We start from the raw sequence: 12200 nt of genomic DNA, 5'->3' as shown, positions 1-12200 counted from the left end.
AATACACTATACTGCAAGATGCCAAAATGAGCCACTCGAATCCTCTTTTTCGGGAAGTCAAAAGTACGGTGAGGCATGAGAAGAAGGATCTCCAGCTCCAATTTGGTCTCCCTCTTGTGGCTGAACACACTGTTACCAGATGCTTATGAAACCATTTGCATATGGTACAAGCCCATGTGGGAGAAATGAGAGCTCTGTCAACTTCTACCCATCTTCTGTCCTCTCCTGACAATGCATCTCCATCACTAATGGTGGCCTCTGGGTTTTACTTTCTTCTGTGCACAAAGAAAACAACTGGTGGCACCTGTACATAGAGAATTCCAGAGGCAGGAAACTCTCCCTACTTTTGGACAGTGCACAGCAAAGAGAATGTAGTTGGAAGTTCAGCCAACCTGGATTGCAAGCCACCTGTAGCAACATGGCCTTAGACGAGTCACATGACTGCTGGGAGCAACAATCTAGAAGAGTGGTGAAGATACCTAGGTCATCAGAAGGTTAAATAGAATAATGTGTGTGACTGGGCAGAGCACACAGAATGCACCAAATATGTGTTTTTTAGATTCTTTCCCAAATCTAGGAGATGCAACTTAGCAATGAAATGCCTTAAAACCTAAAACAAAAAGTTATAAAAATACATTCATGGTCATGGAAAAATATACATTAGGTAAAAAAATAAAGGGAGATTATTAATGTATGTAAAATGTAATGTAGTAGCTAGTTTGCATACACACTTACAAAATAAAAGTTCTGTAAGGATATGCACCAGCCGGTTTACTGTGGCTAACTCTTCTAGGTTCTAGCAGCCCTGACAGGTTTCTGTTGCATTTCCCAGCGACCATGACCCCTAATCCCCTAAGCCCCTAAGCCTCCCTCTTTTCTGCTCACACAGAACTGATGAGAGGAGAGACTCAGCTCAAAAGTGTTGAGTGAATGAAATCGTTTCTTAAAATATTGGGTTTATAGTTTCCTTTTAAAAAAATGAAACAAATGATTTAATTTTTAAGATTTTTTTCTGGAAAAATAAAAAATCTTATTTTAAAACATATAATGTTAATGTTAATATTTTCCCCCTTAAAATCTCATTTGATACTCCCATCAAATAAGATTTATTCTTTAGGATTTGAGTAATTCTGGGAATAAAGCCTTAATAAATCAGGAAGGACAACATAGTCATCAAGTGCCTGGGTGCTGCAGACCCTGGTTTCCAAACCAGCTATTTTCTGTCTAACTTCTGCCAAGTTACTTTGTCTCTCTGAGCCACAGTCTTCTTATGTATAAAACAGAATCATTAAAGTTCTCATCTCAGGATGTCATGAGGAGTCAAGCTCTGGGAGCAGTACCTAGCACAGCACAAGCATGACATAAGTATTTGCTAAGTGAATGAATAAAAATTTGATGATCTTTTATTATGCTGCCTGATTTGGTAGTATGTGTTAGTAAATGTTTGTAACTAATTTTATCATCTCACTCTTAGGAATTTTAAAAAATCACTTCTAGAGGTGTACAAAAATACTTGCATATGATCCAGTTCATTTCAGCATTATATGCAAGGACAAAAAATTGCAAACCATTAAAATGTTCACTAAAGGAATGTTGGTTAAATAGATTATAGTAAATTCATTTAATGGAGTATGACATAGTCCTTTAAAAGGATAAAGTAGGTAGATTTGTAGGTTGATAGAAGTATCTATTCACAATTATTGTTAAATGAAAAAATATGTTATAAAAGGTTAGGTATAATATACTTTATATAGCATTAACCTAGTATCTGTGAATATTTTCAAATACAGTCCACGGTGGATATTTCTCTCATGCTACACAGACAGATGAGGGTCAGGATCTTGGCTCTGCCCCTTATTATCTGTAGAACTCTGGGAAATTCATTGAGCCCCTCGGAGCCTGTTTCCACGTGTATAAAATGGTGATAATAACAATTATTCTGCAGAGTTGTTTTAGGTTTTCTTTTCTTGTCTTTTCTTGTTTTGCTTTGCTTTGTTTTGAGATGGAGTGTAGCTCTGTTGCCCAGGCTGGAGTGCAGTGGTGTGATCTCAGCTCACTGCAGCCTCTGCCTCCTGAGTTGAAGCGATTATCATTCCTCAGCCTCCCGGGTAGCTGGGATTACAGGCATATGCCACCACACCCAGCTAATTTTTGTATTTTTGGTAGAGATAGAGTTTCACCATGTTGGCCAGCCTGGGCTTGAACTCCTGGGCTCAACTGGTCCACCCACCTTAGCCTCCCAAAATGCTGGGATTACAGGCATGAGCCACCATGCCTGGCCCTGTTTCAGGTTTAAATGCCATAACCTCCATGAAAATCCCTAGCAAGCAGCAGGTACTCAGGGTGGTGTTTGTTCCCACAGTGACTGTATGTATCTGGGGGACAACACGGGTAATGCATGAGATTCACAAGTCCATATGTAACCCACACATTGTCTGTAAAATTAATAAGTGATGTTTTATTCTTTTCAAATATAAGTAGAGACTGCTGTAAATAACACAAACTCCTATTTAGTGGCATTACTGAATCCATTAGGCATGTATGCAGATACTTTATTACTACAAATTTAGCTATCCTATGAGTAATTTAACATTTCTGATGTTTTAAAAGGGCCCTCATGAGGCAATTTGAAAATATGTATCTAAAGCCTTAATATTAGGCAGGGCCCTGGGCTTTGAATAAAGACTCGTTTTGAGGTCCACAGAGAGGAGACACAAGGCCACAAGATGGTCCCATGGCTAGCAAGTGGCAGAGTCCAGATCCAAAGGATGTCTGTCTGACTCCAGACCTCAGGATCTTAACCCCCACACGATGCTAATGTTCCTTACTGACCAAGGGAGGTTCAGAGAAGGTACATACCTAGTGCCAACTTCACACTACCATTTATCGAGCACTTGCTATGTACTCAATAAATAAGCACTAAGAGCTAGGTGATTGTACAACCTTATTCAAGTCTCAGAACAACCCTACAAGTAGAAACTATTGTCTCCATTTTAGAATGAAAGAGGCTCTGGGAGTTTGATTCACTTGCACAAAGCCACAGAACTAGGAAAAGGAGGGTGCAGGGTTTGAATCGAGTCTATCTGACTTCAGCCCCCCTCACAATGCTATACTGCTGCCAGTCTCGGTGGGGCTTGGACTATGATGACGGCCCCAGAAATGGCTGTCGCTGTCGGATGCCCCCATGATCTCATGTCTCACCCAGCTCCTGCTTAGAAGGCGAGAGAGTGGTTGTGGAGGAAGTCCAGCCAGCCAGCCAAAGATGGGAAACCCCACTGGGACAGAATTTGTTTTCTCCAGTTCGGACTTGGCAGAGAGCAGGAACGCATGGGTCTGAGGTGGAAGAAACGGTCCTGTGGATGAGTCAGCAGCTGCCACAGCAGAAAGCATTTGTGGCCGCTCTGTGCAAAGACGCTGGGTATTTCTTTTGCTGTTATCTTATAGTTTGAGTGGTTTGGAGGAAAAGGCAGAAGCATGTGGACAGCAGCTCCTCATGATTACTTCATTCGGGGAGGCAGCATGCTGTGCTGAAAAGTGTTCTGGCTTTGGTGGCAAAGAGATCAGCTTTGCCATTTACCAACTGCTTGATGTGGGACACATTTCATCTCTCAAAGACCCAGTTTCCATGCATTTGAAATAAGGATACAATATTTACTTCAGAAAGCTGTTATGAAGAGTAAATGCAGATGTGAAATTTACAGATATTTCCACCTCATCTGCTCCAGCCAGTACTGCAGTGGGAAGGTCATGCACTGCACAGTGATTGCCAGTAGATGGCGCAATGGGCCTGCCGCCATCCCAGGCTTTGTTTCTGAACCCAGCGGGAGAGGGAGATGACAGAAATCTTTATTGCAAACTGGGGGACACCATTAGCTACAGTGGCCTCCTGGGATCACCATTTGCAATATAAGCCCAGTGACTTAAAGGAGAGAGTGGAGAGGAATCATGGTAAGGTAAGCAAAAGAAAAAGACATTTTGTTTATTTCTCAGTTTCCTCATCTGTAAAATGTGGGTGCTATAAATCCACACATCATAAAAAGCTCTCAAGATTAAAAAAAAATGTATTTGAAAAGATCTGAAACAAAGCGGGTGCTAAATATGTGTTTCATTCATCCTTTTCCCACTCTGGGGGATTCCAACTTATTACAAAAGATTGCTGAAACATTCCTCCAAACAAGTAAATATTTCACAAACGTAACTGAGGTTTTTTTTTTTTTTTAATGTATGTGACTTAAAATTGTAAACTCAGATGAAATTACACCTACTGTCAAATAGTGAAAAATTAAACTATAGCCAGTATTTTGAGGTTGATCAAAACTTTTTGGCATAAAAAAATGTACCCTCGTAACAGCAATTTGGCAATGTATTTTTGGAGTTTAAAAAGCGTGCATGCTGGCCAGGCACAGTGGCATGTGTCTGCAATCCCAGCTACTTAGGAGGCTGAGGTGGGAGGATAGCTTCAGCCCAGGAATTTGAGACCAGCCTAGGCAACAGGGATTCCTAATTTTTTAGGGATCTCTAAAAAATTAAATAAAATTAAAATGTAAAAAATGCATGCATTTTCACCTAGAAACACTTCAAAGAATATTTCCTGATGAAACAATCAACTGTGCATGGAAAGATTTCATTCTAAGGAATCTTTTGAAGTCTAAATATCTATTGGTCAAGAATTAGTAAATAAAATATGGTATATCTACATGGTGAGAATGATGTGAAACCTTGGGGGGAAAATGAAATTGTAGAAATACATCCACTGACAGGGAAAGCTGTTTACTGTATATTGGTGAGTGAAAAAAAAAAGAAGAGGTCCAAAATTATGTAGAGTGTGATGCCTTGATTATTTTGCACACACACCCCATGGATCAAAGTATGAAAGGACGTGACAAAACATGTAACTATATTTATCTGCTGGTAATGAGATTATGAGCAAGTTTTACCATCTCTTTGTTCTATATATCTGACTTCACTATAATGAATATCTATTCCTTGGGAAATATGAAATGATTTTTCTTTTCAGGATTCTCATACTTGAAAATGTGGGGGTAATGGGTCTTAGGATCAGCCCTTCCCTCAGGAAGGGTGAGAGCAGAAGGAGCCCTCAGGCCTTTGGGGACATTTCTGTCACATTTGTGGGTGACCGCACTACTGTGAAAATCCAGGTATCACCAAATCTTTAATCAGTCTCGGTCAGGCCAGGTGGGGAGAGTCAGGACTCACCTGCTTGGGGATGAGGTTTTGGGGAGGGGGAACAAAGATGTGCCAGCAGCCCTTCCTGATGCAACATTTTCCTTCCTTGTAGTCCCCGTCTTTTCTGCATTGGTGCACACAGATGCCTGACCAGAGGAGAGACCCAATTAACAGCTTTCAAGTATTACATATAGAAAATAACATTTTCAAATGCCCTTTAAGATATCGTCAAAACCATCAATTACCTAGAGATAAATCTAACAAATCTTGTGCAGAAAATTACACGATATTACAAACAAAAATTTGTAGGTACCTTAATAAATGGAGGGATGTGCCGTGTTTGTGGATTAGAAGATTCATTATTATAAAGCTGTCAGTTTTCCCCAAATTCAACAATAAATTTAATACAATCTCAGTCAAAATCTTAGAAGGATTTTTCATGAAAATTGATAAACTGATTCTAAAACTTATATGAAAATTCCAAAAGGCAAGAATAATCAAGACAGTCTTAAACAAAGTTGAGGGACTTAAGCTACCATTTATCAGGATTTATTATAATGTGGCAGTAAATGGAACAGCAGTGCAAGATACCAAATAGATCAGTGTAACAAAAACACACCATCTCATAATTTATGACAAAGGAGCCGCTGTAGTTCAAAGAGGGAAAGAATGCTTTTTCAGTAAAGGTAGCTGGCTTGATTGGCTTATTCATGTAAACAAAAAGGAACCTTGACTCCTACCCCACACCACACACAGAAATCTCTTCCAAATGGATCATGGACTTAATGTGAAAGAAGAAACAATAAAGCTTTTAGAAGATATTGTAGAAATAGTTTCATGATCTTGGGATAGGCAAAGATTTCTTCTTCTTCTTGTTTTTTTTTTTTTTTTTTTTTTTTTTTTTTTTGAGACAGAGTTTTGCCCTTGTCACCTAGGCTGGAGAAAATGAGCTGGGTTGGCCTTATTCTCCTTTTTTCGTATGAATGTATGGGGTACAAGTGTAATTTAGTTACATGCATAGATTGTGTAGTGGTGAAGTCAGGGTACCTGGATAATGTACATTGTACCCATTAAGTAATTCCTCATCATCTACCTTGTCCTACCCTACCCTCCACCACTGTCCCAAGTCTCTACTGTCTATCATTCCACATGCTATGTCCATTGCATGTTTGTGTTCCCCCCAAATTCATATGTTGAAACCAAATCACCAATGTGATTGTATTAGGAGATGATGGAGGGGTTGTGGAGGTGAATAGATCATGATAATGCAGCCCTTATGAATGGAATTAGTGTCCTTATAAAATAGGCCCAAGGGAGCTAGTTCACCAGTTCTACCATGTGAGGTTGCAGCAACAAGTTGGGATTCTGCAACTCAGAGGAGGGCCTTCACCAGAACCTGGCCATGCTGACACCCTGATCTTGGACTTTCCATTCTCCAGAATGGTGAGAAATAAATTCCTGTTATTTATAAGCTATGGTATTTTGTTATAAAAGCCAGAATGAACTAAGACAGAAATAAATGAGTTAGAGAAAGGTGGCTCCATTTTCAAGCAGAAATTAGATTATAGAAAAGCTGGGGATTTCTAAGTGGGAAAATTAAATTATTTCTCACCTGTAGTCTCTCAAGCCATTAAAGGAAACTCAAAGTAATATATAGTCTCAGTGGTAAAAGTCTAATAAAAGGTATGGCTGTAGGACACTCTGTTAAGAGCTCTGTAAGATTGAAAGTCGTGCTTAGTAGATACTTTGAGCTAGACAAAATGGCTCCTAAAAATTTTAGGGTTCTTGTCCAACAGATGCCTGCAACTCTCAAAGAAGAGAAAGACCTGTTCACAAAAGAATTGTGCTAGAGACTTTTGGGTCATGGAGATCTGAACCAGTTTCACAGGAAACCTTTGAGGTTCTTAAAAGAATTGTATTGTTAAAAGCACTACTGCTCACACTATGAGGGACTAAGACAAAATCTTTAGAAAACTGTTGGCCCTCATATTTCTGCAGACAGGCAGCAGGATGAAATACCTACTGTGTTAAAGGTTCCCAAGACATTTTTAGGCTCAAAGTTTTGCTAGGAGGACTCACAGGACTCAGCATATAGTCATATTCATGGTTCTGATTTATTACAGTGAAGGATACAAAACAAAATCCACGAAGGGAAAAGGTATATGGGCAAAGTCTGGAGGAAACTAGGTGTAAGCTTCCAAAAGTCCCCTCCCTGTACAGTCACACAGTAATAACTTAATTTCTTATGCATCGAGTTGTGACAGCCCATGTGAAATATTGTTCACCAGGAAAGTTTGCCTGAGCCTAGGAGTTGAAGATTTTTACTGGAGGCCTGTCGTATAGGCACTCCTTCTACCCAGCATGTGCCAAAATTCCAGACTCCCAGAAGTAAAACATGTATTCAGCATAAAGCATACTGTTTGCACAAAAAGTTTAGGCACAGTGAGGCACTCTTGTCATTTAGGGAAAATTTTGTATCAGTGTAGAGAACTGTTTAACATTCAAGCTCCCAGATGTCAGCCAAGGGCCAACTTTGCAAGCAGGCCTTTCTAAGGACTATATTCTCAGGCCGGCCATGTTATCTCTTCTGCACAGCTAATCAGATGCAAGTGCAAACTTGATGGTAACAGAAATTTCAGTGATTCCCCGGGATTGGTTACTATGAGGTGAATGTTTGTGTCCTTCCCAAATCCATAAGATGAAATCCTAACCCCCAGGATAGTGGTGTTGCAAGCTGGGCCCTTTGGGAGGTGATTAGGAATTAGGGGCAGAGACCTCATGAATGGGATTAGTGCCTTTATAAAAGAAACCCTAGGGAGGTTGTTTGATCCTTTCACCACATGAAGACACAGCAAGAAACTGCCATCTATGAATGAGGAATCAGGCCCTCACCAGATACTGAATCTGCTGCCACCTTGATCTTGGACTTCCCAGCCTCCAGAACTGTGAGAAATAAATTTCTGTTGTTTATAAATGACCCAGTTTATGGTATTTTATTACAGCAGCCTAAATAGATTAAGACAGCAGCATTACTTTTAAATTACTATTTAAATTACTATTAAATACTATTAAATTACTTTTAAATTACTCTTTTGGTCATAGTGGTGGGATAGTTCCAAGGGGGTTCCTCTTGACGTATTCTATCATAATAGCCCTCACCCCATCCATCAGGGAGCAAATGTGAAGTTTTTCCCAGTGTTTAAGATAACAATTACAACTAAGCACTCAAGACCTGAGAAAGTGACCACAGGAAGAGTTTGTGGAACCACTGGGCTCACTGTGAAATGGGCAGAAGCCAAAACTCCATTCAACACCTGACTTCGAAAAGCCTGCACTCTGATCAATGCAGGGATATTTTAGTTCCCAAATATCAGTGTCAGATCAGAGCACTGTCCAGTCATTGCCTCAGAGCCTGGGTAGTTCCCTCTCTCCAATGCTATGTCACCAGTGAATGATTGCAAGTCCCATTAGATAAGCATAGAAGGAAACTTTACAGTACTCACTTGTGGCAATGTCCCATGGTCCTCTCTTAGTGGGAGCTGACTTCCTCCTAACTCAAAGGGTTCTGGTCTGTAAACTGGTTGGTTTTGGTTTTGGGAGGAGAAGCCATTCCTTTCCAGTATGGTGTTCCTAACATATGTCTGTTCCCTAGGCCAAGAAGTTGTGTGCACTCTCTTGCTCTCTCGCTTTCTCTCTTTCTGTCTCTCTCTCTCTCCCCTCCTTCCCCTCCTCATCTCTTTCTTCCTCTGTCTCTCCTTCTCTCGTATAGATCCACAAAGGCCTCAGTAGTTTGCCCATATCTTCCATCCTAAGAACACCATGCCTAGTTAGCCATTGCCAAAAACATACACATATTCCTTAGATTAGTGCTGATATAACTTGGCAAAATATTTTAGTATTTGAGCATGTATTCTATCTCCTCCCAGGTCAGATTTTGGACTTCACCTTTGGAGTGCAGCTGGATTATGACTCTTGTCCTCCCAGTATTCTGAGGCAATGAGAGGCAATGGACTATAGCTCTCCAAGACATTCAGTAGAAATTATTATAGAAACTTCAGGCAAGGGGGTGGCAGCTTCCTCAGGGGAGCTGGGGCTGTGACTGCTGGTAGAGAGAGTCAGCGCAGCTCTGGGAAGTTAAGGTGCTCATATTTGTCAGAATCATTGCAATCTGTAAGGCCCTACTTTCCCCTCTTCATGCCTTAGTTTAAATATGAGAGACCTGGCAAAGCTGAGATTCAACTTGCTTTGTAATTCATAGTCAACCTGTCAAATTTGGTTCTCATCTCAGATAAAATGGAAACAGACTTCCTTAGGGCAGAATACATGTTAGCTGTTTCTCTGACCTTGTCTTCAACTAAGGATTGAAAGCCCTGAGCTTATGTTTTCTGTAAACTCTCCAGTGCAGTTAGAAGGTGGCATCCCACTCCATGTAACCACCATAATGTTCTATTTTAAGAGCTCCTTGGGTATTCTAAAGACTTCCCTTTAAAAGGCATTTCATCGAAGCAACTATAGGTGATAATTTCAGTATCTATCTTGCCAATCTGTGACCTGGACTCCTGGGATCCTACTTTCCACCAGCAATGTGGCCGTTACTGCCTTTAAACACAACCTGCAGAGATAACCAATCCCAGATTTCCATCTTTAAGGTGTGGTTTCCTGGAATCTTGTTCTCTGTCTACAGCACCTGCACTGGTCCAGAGCCAGGTCTCTGTATTGTCAGTGAATTGGTGCTGGTTGGGAGGATGCTGATTTTTAAGAATTGCAGGCCAGGCGCAGTGGCTCACGCCTGTAATCGCAGCACTTTGGGAGGCCAAGGCGGGCGGATCACGAGGTCAGAAGATCAAGACTATCCTGGCTGACATGGTGAAATCCAGTCTGTACTAAAAATACAAAAAAAAAATTAGCCGGGCTGGGTGGCGGGTGCCTGTAGTCCCAGCTACTCAGGAGGCTGAAGCAGGAGAATGGCGTGAACCCGGGAGGCAGAGCTTTCAGTGAGCCGAGATCGTGCCACTGCACTCCAGTCTGGGCGACAGAGCAAGACTATGGCTCCAAAAAAAAAAAAAGAATTGCAGCACGCACATTTAATAGTAAGAAGGACCCAGACTTTGTAAAGATACATCAAGGGCTCATTCAGGAAAAATATTCTAGAAATCAGCCACTCTAGTATTCCCCTTGAAATCTTCAGAAATCAGACTTTAGCCTAGACCCATTGTGGAACTTTTCCTTCTAGTGTTGTAGTTCCAGGGTGCAGAGAACAGCCAGGAAACCCTGTGGAAAGCCTTGTATTATCAGGAAGCTAGAGGCCCATCCTTGGACTTGGCACTGGACAAAGGAAATAACTCTACACACTTTATGACAATACCACAGTATCTTGAGTAGTGTAGCTTTATAGTAGATCTTGAAATTAGATAATGTGAATCCTCTAAGTTTGTTCTTCCTTTTTTAAGATTGTTTTAGCTAGTCTAGATCATTTTCATTTCCATATACATTTTAGAATAAGTCTCAATCTTTAAAAGAAGATTACTATAATTTTGATAGAGATAAGTTGAATCTATAGATTAATTTGGGGAAAATGAACATTTAATACTATTGAATCTTTCTGTCTGTCATTGTGGTATAAATCTCCATTTATTTAGGTTTTATTTATGTGCTTACAAACAAGTCCACTCAAGTCCTTCTCATATGGCCTCTCTGCAAAGCCACTTGAGCCCAGAGACCCATCACTGCCCCCACTTCACCTTTGCCAGTGTCCTCATAGGAATGCCGCCCTGTGCAGCAGGACATTCTCTCCAGCCCAAAGCTGAGAGTCTAAGTGACAGGATGGTGCTGTGTTCCCACTAGCATTTACTCCATTGGTCACATCATGTTCTGGACAGCAATGGGGAGACTGCTTCTCTCCTCACAGGGCTCAGAAGTCCTGTGAGATATTGGCTGGAGAAGACAGGTAGAAAGCCACTTCCTCCATTCCTCCTGCCTCTGTCTCTGACATGGGTACCCCAGACTTCCTGGAAGGTTATCCTCACCCAATTCATGTTACTAACTCATAGGAGGGACATTTTTAAACTTGAAAATTCATATTTCATAATTACTTTTGGTTCTTTACAGTATTTTTCAGCCACCTCTTATGTAAGGACTTTTTTTTCCTTTTGCACAGGTGTTGATGGGAGCATTCATATCTTGTGAGGCTGACTTTGTGGAATGTATGACCTCAACTTTGACCACGGCTGGGAGATGGGAGGTTGGGTGTGGGGTGACCTCCTAACCATCGTTCCATCAGCCATGTGGGTTTCGTAAAATGAATGTGATCCCTACTCCTCCAGGCCACCCTCTTCCTTTCCAGCCCTCACGTCTTTCATTCCAAGAGCAAAGGGGCCATTTCTGTGAGATGTCTAATTTTTGAAGGTGCTGTGATTTCTCTTGATCATCAGTATAGAAGGGGCTGTTGCATCTTGTTCAGCTATCTCTGAACAAGGTGGCGAAGCTGAGATTCATCTTGAATCTCGGTTGAGATTTAATTGATTTAATTGATGTTTACATGCCATTTTAGATCTCTGCACAACATGGAATACAAATACAACAACTATTCTGTCTGGTTTAAAAGTACCATGCACAATCTGTCTTGATAATGACCTTCCTGATGTAAGTGGATTTGGACCTCTATAGATTCTATTTGTGATTTTAAAAAATGAAAATGTATGTGAAGGGATGGGTTGCCCCTCCACACCTGTGGGTGTTTCTCGTGAGGTGGAACGAGAGACTTGGAAAAGAAAAAGACACAGAGACAAAGTATAGAGAAAGAAATAAGGGGACCCGGGGAACCAGCGTTCAGCATATGGAGGATCCCGCCAGCCTCTGAGTTCCCTTAGTATTTATTGATCATTCGTGGGTGGGTGTTTCTCCGAGAGGGGGATGTGTCATGGTCACAAGACAATAGTGGGGAGAGGGTCAGCAGACAAACATGTGAACAAAGGTCTTTGCATCATAGACAAGGTAAAGGATTAAGTGCTGTG

The 12200-nt window shown here is 41.0% G+C and overlaps 1 long non-coding RNA gene across 3 annotated transcripts in view; it reads left to right on the top strand.

The window, feature by feature from the left end:
• Positions 1-3868: 3868 nt before the first annotated feature.
• LOC101927369 (uncharacterized) overlaps positions 3869-12200 on the top strand; it is a 32191-nt gene continuing 23859 nt past the window's right edge. For all 3 annotated transcript variants that reach the window (XR_243796.5, XR_007065728.1, XR_007065727.1), the window contains exon 1: positions 3869-3953. This is a non-coding gene — a long non-coding RNA (uncharacterized LOC101927369). The remainder of the gene's footprint in view (positions 3954-12200) is intronic.

This window comes from Homo sapiens, chromosome 17 (genome assembly GCF_000001405.40).
Source record: "Homo sapiens chromosome 17, GRCh38.p14 Primary Assembly".
Lineage (NCBI taxonomy): Eukaryota > Metazoa > Chordata > Mammalia > Primates > Hominidae > Homo > Homo sapiens.
The sequence above is the reverse complement of the archived record's forward strand: the minus strand, read 5'-3'. Positions and strand labels throughout refer to the sequence as shown.